We start from the raw sequence: 18,586 nt of genomic DNA on the forward strand, positions 1-18,586 counted from the left end.
CTAGATCCCCTTAGAATAGAGACTCAATAAATGGTATCTGTATATGAGGGAATGGAAGCCAGAAGTCAGGCATAAAAGAAATTCTAAGCTAAAAAAAGCCTAAGGCAGGAATGAAGTCTGTCTCATCAATCAGTTTATTTATGATACCTAGCACAGAATGTGATACTTAGTAGACTCCAAAAATATCTACTGAATAAATGGGTATATTATTTGGAAGATAAGATATGCTAAGTTGGCCAGGCATGGTGGCTTATGCCTGTAATCCCAGCACTTTGAGAAGCTGAGGCAGGAGGATCACTTGAGCTCAAGAGTTCAAGAACAGCCTGGGTAACACAGAGAGGCCCCATCTCTACAAAAAATAAAAAAATTAGCTGGGCAGGATAGCGTGCAGCAGTTCCAGCTACTTGGGAGGCTGAGGTGGGGGAATCGCTTGAGCCAGGAGGTTGAGGTTACAGTGAGCCGAGATAACGCCACTGTACTCCAACCTGGGCAACAGAGCAAGACCCTGCCTCAAAAAAAAAAAAAAAAAAAAAAAAAAAAGCTAAGTTGCCATGCTCTGTAAGAAAGAGTCAAATGTAAGTACAGAAGAGTGCTACCTGTGTTAGCGTGGCAAAAGAAACTTAGCTTAGAGTAGTGATTTCTAAGAGTGGCAGGCAAGAGGTGAGAACAATATGAATGAAACACAACAAATGTGAAATGGAGACTGTATCCTGACTGCTAAGAAGATAGTTCCTACTGATACATTAAGGATAAAAGACCATACACTGATGTTGGCTGTGTAGATTCTTGAATAAATCTAGTCACCTATCTGACTTCAGTCTATATTCTTTTGTATTTTCACTACAATACCCATAAATGAACCAATTGCTACAAAAATTTTGACAGTATTGCTTATGTTTTTGTTGTTGTTGCCTTAGACAGTACTGAAAGGATACTTTACAACTACCTTCAATCTCTGCATAGGTATCTTCTTTTCCCAATTTCATATACTTCCATAAAAAATATTTAAAATTTTTTGGCTTTGTCTCAATTTATATACTAACATTGTAATTTTTTCAGTTTTGGAATATTTGCTACCACAGCACATTATTACTATGATACATTATTTGACTTGTGTTCAGATAAATTAGCAGGGTACAACCTCTCAAGCTTTGCCTGCTGGTCAAGGTTTTCATTAACTAAAATACTAGTTTCTTATTTACTAACATAGACACCCACCAATATGAAATTCTCTTTGGATGCTGATTACTGAGTCAAAGAACTTTATTATCAATACTGTCATTCTTTTTTTTTATAACAATAAAATGTTCCCATTATAAAAATATCACTATTAACAAAACCATCTCTCTCTCAAGCATAGTAAAACACAAACTGCAGAAGGAATGGACACTGAAGGTCATTTATATTTTTAATATCCTTCTATTTTTATTATACTTTTAATATCCTTCTATTTCATCATGGTTTTTTGCAATTATTATTACTCTAAGTCAAGTACTCTGATGAATTTTTCCTCATCAATTGTCCTTTTTACTGAAGGGTTTCTTTCTGAAAAGTTTCCTATGTGTTTGGTAATGTTTAAAAAAAAATAAATTAGGCCAAGCATGGTAGCTCAAGCCTATAATCCTAGCACTTTGAGAGGCCAAAGCAGGAGGATGGCTTGAGCCCAAGAAGCTCAAGACCAGCCTGGGCAACACAGTAAGACCCTATCTCTATAAAAATAAAAATAATAATAAATTACATACCTATAGTCTAATATTTTTAATGTAATGATGGCATGTATATTGACTCTGGATTCACTTGGTAGTGTCATGGCAGTCTCAGTAGCAGACTCACTTTGGCTAGGTCCATCATCTGGCAAAAGAAAACTTATATGAAGCCAATATTTATACTACAAAGTCATTGTTAAAATTCTTGATAATATATTAAAACAGTGTACGTGATTTCTAGATATTATTGGTGAGAATGCCTTTAGTCATATGCTTTATTTCCAATGACTCAAATCTCAATCTGGAATTTAATATTTAATTAATAGAAAATAAAATTACTGTAGCATGGCTTCAAAACTGTTTAATGAATCCTACTGAAAGGAAATTTAGCAGTAAGAAAGAACCTTCATAGAATAACTATGATGTATAAGAAGAAACAAATAACAAGTAATCCTTCCTCTTAAGTAAAATAATATGGTCCACTAGAAGAAATTTGTTAATGAAAGAAAACCATTATTTCCCTCAAATGTCTACCAAATAAGCATATGCTTTTTAATTTAGGAGACAACAAAATTGATTATCCTCAATCACTTGAAATTTGACAATCTGCATAACTGAGTAAGTCTCTGGTACATTTTATATGTTAAGATTTTTTTCTTAACAAATGCAAGACTTTATTTTTTATAGATATTTTCCTAACATGCTTGCATACTCACACATTCACGCACCATCAACCACCTTACTAATCTCCAGAGACTGTTTAACACTGTCATCATATGGTATACATATTTTTTTAAATACACATTTTAAAAGAAATGGCTTTGTGTTATTTTTGCAAAAAAGACTTGAACGATAGAGAAGTAAAATAAGACTATCACTTTTCAACAATGTGAAAACGATGAAACAGTCCCAGCATTAGCACATAAGAGCAGAAGGCACGCCAAAAGAAAACAAAAAAAATTAGTAGTATACCTGATCTTGCTTCAGCCCAGTAGGCATTCAATAAACATTTGTTGAATATTACTAAGTATATTTCTCTTGCATTGAGCTCATCAGTTATTCATTAGTCAATAATGATTAAGCTATTATTGCTTCCCAGGCAAGTATCATATGAATACTTTATTCACAGAAGTAGCACAGAATAAATGACAGAATATCAAACAGAAATGAAAGACATCAAGGAAAGTATTAACATCAAGTTAATGCTCTAGTAGTAGTACTACTCCCCTAGCAGTTTGGTTAAGTTACTTTAAATAATATGTAATACAGTGCCAAAATTAAATAAGCAGAGAGACACTATTAAACCAGCAACAAAATCCAGCATTGTTTTTAAAATATCTATGTATACTACCATGATCGTATAATGAGGTAGGGTATTCTTAACAATTTCCAAAGAGCTCCTTTTAATAATTAGCATCAAGGAGAATATAAGGAGAGAGTCTATTGTCTCTGGGGAGAAGACTGTTGCGAGAGAGATTTCCTTTCATTATATATCTTTGCGTATTGTTGTTTTTTTTAACCATGTGCATTTACTGTCTTTTTCATTAAAAAAACATAATTTTTAAAAACATCAAAATTTCAAATTGAAAGGGCCATGTAAGTGCCAAACACAATAAATAAAAGTAGAACCACACCAAAGTTAATTACCATAAAATTTCAAACAATGGCAACGAATAGAAGATCCTATAGGTTTCCAGAGAGAGAGAAAAAAAAAAGTTGTAATTGTACAAGTGACTGACAAGAACACAGCCAAATAAGAGGTCAATCACATAAGCAAGAACGCAGATATCTCATTATTTTTTTTTTTTTTCTGAGAGGGAGTCTCGCTCTGTTGCCCAGGCTGGAGTGCAGTGGCGCGATCTCGCACGGCAAGCTCCACCTCCCGAGTTCACGCCATTCTCCTGCCTCAGCCTCCCGAGTAGCTGGGGCTACTGGTGCCCGCCACCACGCCCAGCTAATTTTTTGTATTTTTAGTAGAGACGGGGTTTCACCGTGTTAGCCAGGATGATCTCGATCTCCTGATCTCGTGATCCGCCTGCCTTGGCCTCCCAAAGTGCTGGGATTACAGGCGTGAGCCACCACGCCCAGCCATGGAGATACCTTTTTAAGAAATTTTTGGCCGGTGGCGGACGCCTGTAGTCCCAGCTACTAGGGAGGCTGAGGCAGGAGAATGGTGTGAAGCCGGGAGGCGGAGCTTGCAGTGCAAGATCGCGCCACTGCACTCCAGCCTGGGCGACAGAGCAAGGCTCCCTCTCAAAAAAAAAAAAAAAGAAAGAAAGAAAGAAATTTTCAAATGTATTCATTTGGTGAGTTTGGAGGGCATGATGGGTGATTTAGTTGAACGAGTGTCACCTAGAACGAAGTCTTCAGAGCTTCAACTTATCCCTTTGAAGCAAATAGGCACTGATCACTCTGCCTCTCCAGAAGGTTTAGAAGGGGTTGGAAAAGCTGTTGATCCTGTCTCTTAGAAATAAGAGTAAAAAACTAGAGTCCATTTGGTTATTTATTTGTTCCTTCATTCTATAACATTATCCATCACACATAAACTGGTAGGTACTATTATAAGTAAGAGACGAAGACAGAAGATGAACTCGATCTAGTGGACAAAATAAACAAAAATTACAAAATAGTATGGTAAGTACAGTAATATATGTATGTTGAATGTATTTTTATGGGAGCAGTATGTGTTGAGGGTAATTCCCAAGAGAGTAACCACCTCAGAATGGAGTGAGAAATTACAAGTTCTTTTCAATAGTAGAAGAATTGAAAAGAATTTGCCATCTTTTAAACTTCTCCATTTCATTTTTTAGATTTTTTTAACGTTTGATTTTATTATCCTGTATTACTCTTAAAATGAGAGGAACTAAGTGAACCATCATTTTCTGAGGCAACAGGCTGGGGGTTGGAAGAACGAACCTTAGGAAAACTACTAAATGTGTTAGCCAGGCCTGTAGAGTATAACCCCTAAGGATGGAGTGGGTGGCTACAAAAAAAAAAGCAGATAGTTCTTGGAGAACATGCAGAGCTAGTTTGTCCCCTGAGGAGACATCTGAGAGGGACAGAGGCATAAAATGCCCCAAAGTGTGGTCCCCAGAACAGCAACATCACCCTAACATGGGAACTTGTTAGAAATGCAAATTTCCAGGCTCAACCCCAAACCTATGAATCATGAATTCTGAGAGTGGAGCCCAGCAATCTGGTTCACCAAGCCCTCCAGGTGAGGCCAATGGACACTAAATATCCAAACCTATTTCTTTAGTGAAGCACCCCACTTTTATCACATGAAAGATGATGAACATAAATTGATAATACATAACCAGTAGCAATCCCTGGGTCTAGATCTAATTACTACAAATGTATTCATTTATCCCCCAAACTGTTACCGTGCTTCTACTCTGCGGCAGTCATTGTACTAAGTGCTGGGGACATAAAAATGAGTAAGACACTGTGAGTGATAAACTATGGCCAGGTCTATTGTACAGAGTCCATCCTAAGCCTGATAACAGAGACAATAATTGCCCAAAGACTATTCCTTAGTACAAGATTGCAAAGAAACTAAAAATATGATTCCAATTCATTAATATATAATTTACTGGCATAAATTATTTTATGCCCAATTTATGAGTTTTCTATGGTTGCTTTAACAAATTACCACAAACTTAGTGACTTAAAACACACAAACATTATCTTACAGTTTTGTAGTTCACAAGTCTGCAATGGGTCTCATTGGGCTAAAATCAGGGGTTTGGCAATGGCAAGTCTGTATTCCTTTTTCCTTTCCTTTTCTTTTTTTTTTTTTTTGAGACGGAGTCTCACTCTGTTGCCAGGCTGGAGTGCAGTGGCACCATCTTGGCTCACTGCAACCTCCGACTCCCTGGTTCAAGCGATTCTCCTGCCTCAGCCTCTTGAGTAGCTGGGATTACAGGCACGCGCCACCATGGAACTTTATCATGCCCAGCTAATTGCTGTATTTTTAGTAGATACGGGGTTTCATCATCTTGGCCAGTATGGTCTCAATCTCCTGACCTTCTGATCCGCCCACCTCGGCCTCCCAAAGTGCTGGGATTACAGTCGTAAGCCACCACCCCCAGCCTGCATTCCTTTTTCTAAAAAGAATCTGATTCCTTGCCCTTTCCAACTTCTAGTAGCCACCTCATATTCCTTGCTTCATGGCCTTCCTCCTCCAAGTTAAGCCAGCAACAGTGGTTCTTCTCACATCCTATTACGCTGACCTCCTCTTCTGCTTCTCTCTTCTACTTTTAAGAATCCTTGTGATTATATTGGGCCAACACAATTCATAATAATATCCTTATTTTAAAGTCAGTCAATTAGCAATCTTAATTGCCCTTTGCCATGTAAGGTAACCCATTCACAGGTTTCAGGGATTAGGGTGTGGCCATCATTGAAGGGTCATTATTATGTCTATCAAAGGTAGCATAGCTAGATGATCCTGGTGACGGAGCAAGAAATTAAACTCAGAACACAGATCAGAATCAGGTGATAGAGCTTGAATAAAGGCAATGTTTGCAATCAAATAAAGTAATTAAGCTTAATGCCACGATGGCATAATTGGGGTTGGCACCTGTCTTAGTCCATTTGTGCTACTATAACAAGATACCACAAACTGGGTAACTTATAAACAATAGACATTTATTTCTCACAATTGTGAAGGCTGAGAAGTCTAAGATCAAGGCCCAGCATTTGGTCTCTGGTGGGGGCGCTCTTGCTGTGTCCTCATATGGCATAAGGCAGAAGTGCTAGAGAACACTGCCTTCAACCTCAAACCCTTTTTTTATAAGAGTGCCAATCCGGCCAGGTGCAGTGGCTGGGATCACACACGTAATCCCAGCACTTTGGGAGGCCGAGGCGGGCGGATCACCTGAGGTCGGGAGTTTGAGACCAGCCTGACCAACATGGAGAAACCCTATCTCTACTAAAAATACAAAATTAGCCGGGCGTGGTTGCACATGCCTGTAATCCCAGCTACTCATGAGGCTGAGGCAGGAGAATCACTTGAACCCAGGAGGCAAAGGTTGCAGTGAGCCGAGATCGCGACATTGCACTCCAACCTGGGCAACGAGAGCGAAACTCCATATCAAAAGAAAAAAGAAAAAAAGAGTGCCAATCCTATTCATGAGAGTGGAGCCCTTAAGATTCAAATCTCCTCCCAAAGACCACAATTCTCAGTACTGTTGCACTGGGGATTAAGTCTCAACAAAATTGTAGAGGGGAAACCATCACTGAAACCACAGCAGCACCCACTGGGGAATTTTACCAATCTGGCAGGACCTCACCCTTGGCAGGCACAGTATCATCACCACTGGAACATATCTCCCGCCAATAAACTGGGGAGGCTTTAGAATCTGCACTCACTTAACATTCCAACTTGAGATGCTCTTCTTACAAGGGTCTTTTTTTTAAATCTAAAATCGATCCTTTGAGCTTATCACAAACTGTAATGAGTGTAAGATTTGCATGTCAGATTGCTAACTTGCAAACCTCAAACCCAGTCCTTAAAAAGATATTTTATAAACAATAAAAACAAATTTTTAAATTATAGTCCATTGATATTTACCTAGCCTATTGATGTAGAACAGAGAACAAGTAAATAACTATCAGGATTATTTGAAAGTCTGTGATAACCAAATAAGAAGGTTTAATACTATTTAGATGAATCAAGGACATTGTAGGGTAATTCCACACAATGCTACCTCATGAAATTGTGATCCTCAAAACACACCTTTCAAAAAGGTATTATCTGCATTCTACAGATAGAGATGTGTAGGCTCAACATAACAACACATCAATTAAAATGTAAAAATTATAATAATGATCATCTGTGGAGAATGATTTAAGTACTCTAGAAAAAGATTAATTTTTCAAAAATAATAACAATTTCAGAGTTATATTTGTAGGATATCTGGGACTTGTATATGTACTCTTCCTAGGAAAAGGTAAATAACAGTACATTGCAGAAAGTTTATCTAAATCCTACATGAATTACTGCACTTCTGCTAGACACTGGGAAGAATATAAATTAATCACAACCAAAACTTAATAAGCTTTAAAAGAGAACAAGATTTTTCTTTGACACAGTGGAGTCTGAGGAATCTGTGGACCACATTTCTACATTTGAAGCATCACAGACAAGTGCCTTTTAATGAAAGTTTATTTTAAACTGGTACATAACTTCATGCTTCTGGATTGTTCAGTTTCTTTAAAGTTAGCAGTCTCTACTCACTTCAGCCAAAGTTTTTATCTCATTTTACCAGCATCCTTTGAATCAAATGATCGGCACTGTTTTCAATTTTCACCAATCCCTTTTCTACCTCTAAAACTGAGAAAAGAGTAGTTAAAAAGCAGAGAAGAAAAGCTGAAGGAAAAAAAAAAATATGAAGCAATGAAGTGTCCCAACTTTTTCCTCAAAGAGCTCCAGAAAATTTAGAGATAATTAAATGCAATTCCACTCTAACTACTGTTTAAATACTTAGGCCCCATTACCCCAAAATCCAGATTTAATTGGGCTAAAGTCTGGCCTGGGCACGTAGTTTTTAAAAAGCTCCACAGGTGATTCTTATGTGCCTCTAGATACGTATGTAGATTGCTCTTTCACTGAGCATCTTTTCACAGAGAAAATACTTATTACCTATAAATAATAAAGTTATGCTTTGATAAGGAAAAAGTCTTGGGCCTTTGTATGTATGTGCAAAGTTAAGTATTAATTCAAAATAAATGTTTCAGTTCTATTTGAAATTCCCCTTAGATTATGCACACACATAATTGTTCTCCATATGATTATCACAATTTTAAGAGTCTTGCCAATATATGCTTTGAATAATTCAACCTATTTTGAAGTCCAAAGGGATTTTCTAAGTATGTATTTTCTAAGTATGTATACCTGTACAAATACCAAGAAAAATGGAAGAGATAATTAAACCCCAGAAACTACAAATGTCAGGAAATACCAAGGGATTATTTAAATGTGATTGAACAACCAGGGAGAGAAGGAAGAGTGGTAAGATGTTAATAATATGACCAATTATTGGCAAGAAGCAGAGCAACAAATAAATAATAAATAAATATGGCCTGGGCATGGTGACTCATGCCTGTAAATCCCAACACTTTGGGAGGTGAGGCAGGAGGATCATTTGAGTCTCAGAGTTCAAGACCAGAATGAGCAAATAACAAGACTCTGTCTCTACAAAAAAATAAAAATAGCCTGGTGTAGTGGTGCACACCTGTAATCCTAGCTACTTGGAAGGCTGAGGCACAAGGATTGCTTGAGCCCAGAAGTTTGAGGCTGCAGAGAACTAGTATAGTGCCACAGTACTTTAGCCCAAGAAACAGAGCAAGACCTCGCTTCTAAATAAAAAAAAAAAAAATCAAAAATTAAAGAAATTCTTTTTAAGTAAATTACTCTCTCAGGCTTTGAATATTTATATTGAGATATTCCTCTTTTTATTATTTTTTAAAGTAGCTGAGCTGGATATTTTCTACTTCTGAACTTCTTAAACAATAAGGCCATTCCTTACATGCATTTGTTTTTGGCTTGGTTTTCCCTTGCTTTACAATCCTGTTCTAAAAAAATTTTCCCCATCCCCAAAAGAAAGGAGAAAAAAGGAAAAAAAAGAAAAAAGAAAAGAAAGAAACAGGGAAAGAGACAACATAAAGGGATGAAAGATAAAAGAGCTATGAAAAACTGAGAAGAAGGCAAAGATACATATATGGAGAAGTTCTCAGTAAAAGATTCTACTGACATTTGGCCAATGGGCTTTCAATTATTGCTTATTGTGGCAGACTGCTAGTTTTGCCCAATTTTTGTTCTCCTTTTGTGTAGATTTCACATAGAAAATATACTTCCCAGAGATCAACTTCCATCATGACAGCAAGAGGAGCTCTGTTAATCTGCTCCGCAGAAAAGCTGGTTAAAAAGTGTTAAAAAAAAAAAAAAAAAGAAAAAAGAAAAAGGTCAAGGAGAATACTGAGCTGAGCGTGGTGGCTCATGCCTATAATCCCAGCACTTTGAGAGGCTAAGGCAGGCAAATCATCTGAGGTCAGGAGTTCAAGACCAGCCTGGCCAACATGGCAAAAACCCATCTATACTAAAAATACAAAAAAAATTAGCTGGGCATGGTGGCAGGTGCCTGTAGTCCCAGCTACTCAGGAGGCTGAGGCAGAATTCCTTGAACCTGGGAGGCGGAGGATGCAGTGAGCTGAGATTGCACCACTGCACTCCAGGCTGGGTGACAGAATGAGACTCTGTCTGAAAACAAAAACAAAAACAAAAAATAATAATAATTTAAGGCCTCTGAAAAGGATTCTATTTCTATTTATTTTGAGATGGAGTCTTGCTCTGAGTTGCCCAGGCTGGAGTGCAGTGGCACAATCTCGGCTCACTGTAGCCTCCACCTTCCAGGTTCTAGTGATTCTCCTGTCTCAGCCTCCTGAGTAGCTGGGACTACAGGTGTGTGCCACCACTCCCGGCTAATTTTTGTGTTTTTAGTAGAGATGGGGTTTCACTATGTTGGCCAGGCTGGTCTCGAACTCCTGACCTCAAGTAATCCACCTGCCTCAGCCTCCCAAAGTGCTGGGATTATAGGCGTGAGCCACCACGCCTGGCCTTGGAAATGATTCTAATAGCAAACAGCAAATGAAGAAATAGCTGTTCAAGAAAATCTATGGAAATTTTGTAAGAGGTGAGTCTGTGGTATTTGAACCTAGACTGCTCCCTCTCTCCCCTCTTCTAGGTCAGAGAGGCAGAAACTCCACTCCAGAAGGCTACAACTGAGAACACAGGGTTCCCTCTCCCCCAACCCTCCAGCCCCAAACCCTATCTCCCAGCCAGAGGGCTTTCTTCCTGAGAGGAGTGTCAGCATTTCTCATCCTGCCACCAGCTTCCTGTTGCTAATGCTAAATCCCTGATGAGTAGGGTGAGGACTCCCTTCTTCCACTCTGGTCACATGCACAGAAAGGAGGCTCTACCTTGAGCTTGGCATGATGAGAATACTGGGGCCCTGACTGCTCTTCCCCTGGCTCATAAGTTGCTGGTTCAAAGAAAGGAGAGGCAAACCAAGAGAACCTAAGTCTATTGCTGACTCCTTCTACTGAGTGTTCAGCTCCTAGAGGAGAGTGTTACTCTTAGAGAAGCTTGCCATCTTCCATATTCCCAGCTTCACAGCCTGTGCTCAAAGATTTTGCCTGGGGGAGAAACAGGTCATAAAAACAGTTCCTAATCTCTTCCCAAGGGAACTGACTTCACTCACAACAAAGCATGAAAGCTCTCAAAAACAATGAAGGTTATGGTAAAAGGCAGTTGGGATGAAATTCCTGGATCTACTGAAGATACAGCCTAGACTGTATACAAGCAGACTGTACACAAGCTAGCTCACAGGAGAGAACCAAGGAATAAGACAACTACAGAAAAGCTGAGTGTCTATAACAGTATCAGGCAAAACAGACTCAAAACATTTTTTTATGTCAGGGGCACATTATAATGGAAATTTAACAACATATCCTTAAACAACCAATGGGCCAAAGAAGGTATCAAAAGAGAAATCATAAAATACTTTGAGATAAATGAAAATGACACAACATACCAAAACGTATGAGCTGTAGATAAAGCCATGCTTAGAGGGAAATTTTAGCTATAAATGCCTATGTCAAGAAACAAGATCCCAAAATCAATAACCTAACTTTCCACCCTAAGATACTAGAAAAAAAGAACAAACTAAACTCTGGAGTCCTGATGAGATAAGTAAGCAACAATGAAAAGGGGTCCCAGGTGGGGGAGAACAATTGTTCCAAGAGACAGCTAATCATAGACAACTCTAATCACAGACAACTTGCTGGCACAACATCCTGTTCCCAAATACCTCGCTCTGTACACAGCCCCAGCAGCAAGACCTCGTTCCACATAGCCCACTCCAAGCATGAACCTATAAAACTCCCCTCCAGCACCTGCCTCTTGGCAGACAGCCCCTTCTCTGCTGTGCTACTTGTTGCACCCTTGCAACATATCTTTGTACTTTCTCTAATAAATCTGCCTTTCTTTACTACAACTGTCTTGGTAAATTCTTTAACCACCCAGAACGCTGGCCCCAGTCAGTCACAACTGCAATAGAAACCTAAACCAATTAGAAGGAAATAAATAATTAGAGTGTTAATTAATGAAATAGAGAACAGAAAAACAATAGAGAAGATCAATGAAACTAAACGCTCATCCTTTGGAAAGTCAACAAAACTGACTAATATCCAGCTAGTGTGGCCTAGAAAAAAAGAGAGAAGACTCACATTACTAGAATCAGAAATGAAAGAGAGGACATTATTACTAACCTTACAAAAATGAAAAGGATAAACTATGGCAACTATATGCCAACAAATTAAACAACTCAGATAAAATGGACACATTCCTAGAAAGATAAAAACTACCAAAACTGACTCAAGAAGAAACAGACAATCTGAGTATATCTATAACACGTGAAGAGTAATAAAAAAAACCTAGCCACAAAGAGAAGCCCATGCCTAAATGGCTTCACTGCTGAATTCTACCAAACATTCAAAAAATTAATAACAACTCTTCATAAATTCACCCAAAAAACAAAATAGGAGGGAACATTTCCCAATTCATTTTATGATGCCATTATTAGGCTATCACCCAAACCAGAAACAAAAAAAAATCACAAGAAAACAACAGATGAATAACTCTCAAATTCTCAACAAAACACTAAAAAACAAATCTAGCAACATTTACAAAGAATTATACACCATTACTAAGTGGGATTTAACCATGGATGCAAGCTGATTTACCATCTGAAAATCAATTAAGGTAATACAGCATATTAACAGAATTTTTTAAATCACACGACCATCTCAACAGATGCAGAAAAAAAATTGACAAAAACTCAACAACTCTTTTAGGACAAACACACTCAAAAACCAGAAAGAGAAGGGAAATTCCTTAACATGATAAAGGGCATCTACAAAAAATCCACAGCTAACCTAATGTTACTTAACAATGAAAAACTAGAAGCTTTCCCCCAAAGATGTCCAGTCTCAGTCCTTCTATTCAGTACTGTCCTGGAGGGTCTAGCCAAAGGAATTAGGCAAGAAAAGGAATAAAAGGCATCCAGATTGGAAAGGAAGAAGTAAAACTATCTCTATTTGCAAACAACATAGTCTTGTATATAGAAAATCCAAAGGAATACATCAAAAAATTATTGGAACTAATAGTTTCATCAAGGTTTCAGGATACAAGATCAGCATTCAAAAATCATTGTATTCCTATACAGTTGCAAAGAACAGCACAAAAATGGAATTAAGAAAACAATTATATGCCTAATAGCATCAAAAGGAATAAAATGCTTAGAAATAAACAAGTATAAAACTTACAGTCTGAAAACTATAAAACATTGTTTAAAGAGATTAAAGATCTAAAATGGAAAAACATTCCATGCTCATGAATGGAAGACTTAATATTGTTAGGATAATATTCCCCAAACTGATCTACAGAAATGCATAAACTTTATCTTTGTAGAAATTCACAAGTTAATTCTAAAATTCATATGGAATTGCAAGAAATCCATAATAGCCAAAGCAATCCTGAGAAACAAGAGGAGCCCTCCTAAAGTAGGAGCCCTCAATCTTCCTGATTTGATTTCAAAACTTACTACAAAACAATGGTAATCAAGACAGTGTGGAACTGGCAAAGGTCAGACATATAGATCAACAGAATAAAACTGATGGTAGAAAAATAAACCAATACATTTATAGTCAGTTGATTTTTTACAAGAATGCCAAGACCATTCAAAGTAGAAAGAATACTCTTTTCAACAAATGGTGCTGAGAAACTGAATATCCATGTACAAAACAATGAAATTGAACCCTTACCTCACACTGCATATAAAAGTAATTCAAAACTGATCAAAGACCTAAATTTTAAAACAATGGCGTTATAAAATGTTTAGAAGTATAGGCCAAATCTTTATAACCTAGGATTTTGTAAAGCTTTCTTAGATTTAAAAAAAAATGAACAAAAAAAAAATGAAAAATTGGACTTGCTCAAAATTAAAACTTTTATACTTCAAAGAACAACATCAAGAAAATGAAAAGACAACCCACAGAGAACTATAAAATATCTGCAAATCATATATTTAACAAAGGATTTGTATCTAAAGTATGTAAAGAACACTTACAGCTCAATGATTTAAAAAAACAATTAAAAAATAGACAAAGAATCTGAATAGCCATTTCTCTAAAGATGCACAAATGACTAATAAAGCACAGGAAAAGATGCTCTACATTAATACTCATCAGAAAAATGCAAATCAAAGCCACAATAAGATGCCATTTCAGACCCAACAAGATGGCTAGAATCAGAGTCAGATGACAAATGTTGATGAGGATGATGACAAATGTTGATGAGGGGAATCAGAACACTCATATACTACTGGTGAGAATGTAAATTGGTGCAGTTGCTTTGGAAAACAGTTTGGCAGTTCTTCAAATGATTAAACATAGAGTTATCATATGATCGAGAAATATGTTACTCCTAGGTATATACACCCAAGAGAAATGAAAACATACATTCACACTGAAACCTGTACAAGAATGTTTATTACAGCATTATCTGTAATAGCCAAAAGGTCTTTCTGATCTACTAACTCAGTCACCATTTGTTCACTTATGCTATGGCCTAAATGTATGTGTTACCCCAAATTTCCTATGTTGAAATCTAACCACCAAGGTAACAGTATTAAGAGGTAGGGCCTTTGTAAAGTAACTAGATATTGAGGGCAGAACCCTCATGAACGGGAATAGTGCCCTTATAAAAGAAGTCTTGGGGGCTCATTAACCTCCTCTTGCCATCTGAAAGCATGGAGAAGGTGCCATCTATGAGAAACAGGTCCTTACCAGACACCAAATCTGCTGGTGCTTTGATCACAGTTCTCTAGAACCATGAGCAATAAATTTCTGTTATTTATAAATTACAGTCTAAGATATTTTATTATAGTAGCCCAAACTGACTAAACAACTCACTTTCCAATGTCCACATGTTTATTATTTTATTTTTCCCCCATTCTCCCTATCTTTATGGAAGTACACCTTTAAAACATTTCCATTACCAATTTTCTTTTTGTGGGGTTTCTGGAAAGAATAAAATTATATGCATGGATTCACTCTCCCATCTTTGGATAGAAGCTGTCTAGCAGAAATGTTTGCATATAACTGTAACTTCCACTAAGTTCATCTTGGCTTTCTGTTCATAAAATTTTGATCAGTCTGACATGACCTCTAACTGATTCATGACAGAATAATCAATTTGTTCTGGAAGAGAAAGCATATTTGGAGAAGGAAACACTTTCCTTGGTAGAAAATAAGAGTCTTAGAAAATTATTTTAATAATTCACTTGAAGGATAAAGTAGAAAAAATAGCTAAACTACACAATTATCTTACTCATTTAATATATGTTGACTGGCAACATAGTGCTAAGCTAAGCTATGCATAACCAACAGAGTTGTGAGGTAAATTAACAGCTACTGCATTTAGCCATTATGTTTTGGAGTGGTTTGTTTCTTAGCATAGCACTCGTACAACTACTTTTTTTTTTCAAAATGTTTTAGTTTATTCTATAATGATAGACATGAAACAAAAATTGGGTATATGACATGTTTAGTGAATTATTAAAAATTAAGTTTATTGTATTATTTTCACTTTTGGTACATGTTCTTGCTAAATTAACATACCCTGAAAAGTATGTTTTGTCTTAAATTTTGTCAGAGTTTAGCAAAGCTGTGCACGAAAAATAGATAATGAAATACTTGTCAATATACTTTCTAGTCAATAGAACCCATATATCCTGAAAGTCAAGTTTTACTCCTTTTTCAAAGTTGAAGTACTAAGTGCTTACTGAATCTTTTTTGTTAAATTTCCTAATTGGCAGACTTAACACAATTCAAAGGGATTACAGATAGTACATTATTATTGTGAGTTTAAAGATATTTTTATAACCTCAGCATACTTACAGACTATATGGATTTAGAATTAGAGCCACACATGCCAGGATCTATTACTTCCAAATATGTATACCCAAAAGACATTTAAATTTATGTACTATTAATTCTTCACCACTTTTTATGAATCCTTCAAAATATAAGAGAACATTTTAAAGTACCTTTGATCTTGCTTCGTAGATATTTTAGGACTTCTTGTGTTCCTTTCTAGAAGGGTGGAGACAAAGACATTCACCAAGACATGCTTTGCAGTTTTACAGATCAACATATATGTCTGAATTTCAATTTAACAAAGAGCTGAATTCCAAATATACTTACACTTATAATTTCTCTTCGAATTGTTCTCAAAGGATTTCCTTCTAATGCCAAAAATTTCAAATGAAGGTTCCCCAATGAATAGGGAAGACTATAAAAGATTAAATTGATTTCAGGGAAAGCATCAAATATAAGTATACTCCAACCATAGTTAACTATAAAACATCATATGGCAAACAACATATCACAGAATAGTCTCAAAGAAAGGCCAAGTAATGCAGACCTAAAACATTTCCTTTCAAGATAAATGCTAAACATATAAAGGAAAAATCAGATTTGTTTTCAAAATTGTCATGCTGAGATTAATTTTAAAAAAGTGAGCTATAAAACATTTGTTAAATTATAACATTTGCTAAAAAAGTAAATGTTAAACATAAATTTGAATGAATCAGTGATTCAAGATAGACATCCTCACTGATACCAAATGTTTTGATTTTGCACTTAGAGCAAGGAAACAAAATTCTAATTGAAAAAAGATGACAAATAGAAAAAGATAATTTTTGAATGTCCAATTCATGTTTCCATTCAATAAAGAAAGTCATCTTCATCTCTGGCACATTTTAAAAACCATTCATACATAAAAATTCAATATCAATAAAATCTATTAAGCATCTACAAAATATAGGGCACTGGTATAGCGATATCAAGATTCTTGTTCTCAAGTCCTCAGTTAAACAAAGGAAAAAAACACATACAGCTAACTAAAATATAATAAGTATTATCTTACAATGCTGGTGGGAATATAAAATAGTACAGTCACTTTCGAAAGTGGAGTCTTTTAAACATATGGTCACTATACAACTAAGCAAACACACTGCTACACGTTTACTCAGGAGAAATGAAAATAATGTCCACACAGAAACTTGCACACAGATGTTTACAATAGCAAAAAATCAAAAACAACTCAAATGTCCATCAACTAACTACTGAAAAGACACATGAACTGCGGTATATCTATCTCTGTACAACAGAATAACACTCAGCAATAAAAATAAAACTACTGATACATACAACCACATGAATCACAAAAACTTTATGTTACATGAAAGAAGCCAGACACAAAAACTACATTCTATGTAATTCCATTTATGTGACATTCTAAAAAGGACAAAACTATAGTAACATAGCACATTAGTGGTTGCCAGGGGTTGGGGTATGGAAAGGGAATTGACTGCAAAAGGTATGAGGAAACTTTTTAGGGAGATAGAAATGTTCTACATGGCTGTGATTACGGTTACACAAATATATACCTTTGCCAAAAATCATCAAGTTGTATGCTTGATTGGTAAATTTTATTGTATATAAGTTACATATTAACAAATGAATATGATATAAAAAGCATATATAATAAGACAAATGCTAAACAAGTCATGTTGCTATGAGAGTAGAAATATAGACACTGGTGGGGCTTTACAGGGGAGAAGGGAGTAGCAAAAACCGGATTTGGGCTTAAAGTGAAAAATCAAATACTATTAGGCAAAAAAAAAGCATTCTAGGGTAAAGGAATAAAACAAAGAAAGGGTTGGTATATTTATAGCTCAATGTAGTCAGAGAGCAAGACACCTGCATGAGCGAAAGATGACAAATGATAAATTAAGTCTGATTGTAAGGCACCCTTGAATGTCAGGCTAAAAAGTCTAGAGTTTATCTTACAATATGGTGGTTCCCAATTAATTGCTGGTTGGAAGACCAGAAGCATCAAATTCTAGGAACTGTTTTAAAGAAAACAAAGAACAAAAATTCTAGGGTCCCGTCATCAGAGATTCTGATTCATTAGCGTCCCAGAATCAGTATTTTTTCTTAATGTTTCTCAAATGATTCTAAAACGTACCCATATTTGGGAAACAGTGCTATGGCAAGGCTTTTAAAGTAAATTCATTCCAGCGTTCTTAGAATTTAGTTCTAGGGGGTAACTAGAACTAAATTTTACTCTAGTAAGAGTAATAATACTAATACTAATGATAATCTAGTTAGAGTAAGTCATAAATATGTCTGCTTCTATTATCATATCAAGCTTGCTGTTAAAGACAAAACCTAATTAATCTTTATCTGTACATAACTACTGCTCAATCAATATTTAGTGAATTCAATTTAGAAAAAAGGAACCTCTTGGTTTTTTAACAAATATTTCAAATTATGAATTATAACCAAATACAAACACAATTTCTATTCATTTGATATTTAAACTTACCTACTAATATCATTGTTGCTTAGGTCAAGCCTTTCCAAGGACCGTAGTAGTATAATTTCATCTGGAACAGATTTTAACTTGTTATCCCTCAGGTCTAGCACAAGAATTGAATTCAGATGTTTAAGATGTTCTGCCTCTAACATTTCAATCTGGTTTTCACCTACGTGCAATTCCTACAAAATCAAAGATGAGTTATGTGTATCTCTGTATTCAATTTTATAGTAGATAATGAAAATAAAATTGTAGGTACTCTTAATTTCAAGTGATTGAAAAACACATAGAAAAAATGCAACTTTATAAATATCAAGATGTTTAAATTTTCAATTATATTTAGGCTATCTTTCAGCTAAAGAAGAATGGCAAA

At 36.0% G+C, this 18,586-nt stretch overlaps 1 protein-coding gene across 4 annotated transcripts in view, besides 1 other annotated feature; it reads right to left on the bottom strand.

The window, feature by feature from the left end:
* The window catches only part of LRRC40 (leucine rich repeat containing 40), a 60,775-nt gene that overhangs the window by 12,783 nt on the left and 29,406 nt on the right, over positions 1-18,586 (bottom strand). For 3 of the 4 annotated variants that reach the window (XM_011541763.2, NM_017768.5, XM_047424520.1), the window contains 4 exons: positions 18,223-18,395; positions 16,035-16,122; positions 15,878-15,923; positions 1,743-1,851 (listed from right to left, as the gene is read on the bottom strand). In XM_011541763.2, coding sequence (XP_011540065.1) covers positions 1,743-1,851; positions 15,878-15,923; positions 16,035-16,122; positions 18,223-18,395 — 416 coding nt within the window. Of the gene's footprint in view, positions 1-1,742; positions 1,852-7,857; positions 8,044-15,877; positions 15,924-16,034; positions 16,123-18,222; positions 18,396-18,586 lie in introns of those variants that run through there. The other variant, XM_047424519.1, reaches the window with a different exon arrangement.
* Positions 3,211-3,712: an enhancer, noted in NCBI's record as "H3K4me1 hESC enhancer chr1:70626481-70626982 (GRCh37/hg19 assembly coordinates)". NCBI's record gives its function as "activates a minimal SCP1, AML or CMV promoter by ChIP-STARR-seq in naive H9 embryonic stem cells {active_cell/tissue: H9 hESC(naive)}" and the evidence as "EXISTENCE:reporter gene assay evidence [ECO:0000049][PMID:30033119]".

The sequence above is a fragment of the Homo sapiens genome, chromosome 1 (assembly GCF_000001405.40).
Source record: "Homo sapiens chromosome 1, GRCh38.p14 Primary Assembly".
In the NCBI taxonomy this organism is placed as follows: Eukaryota; Metazoa; Chordata; class Mammalia; order Primates; family Hominidae; genus Homo; species Homo sapiens.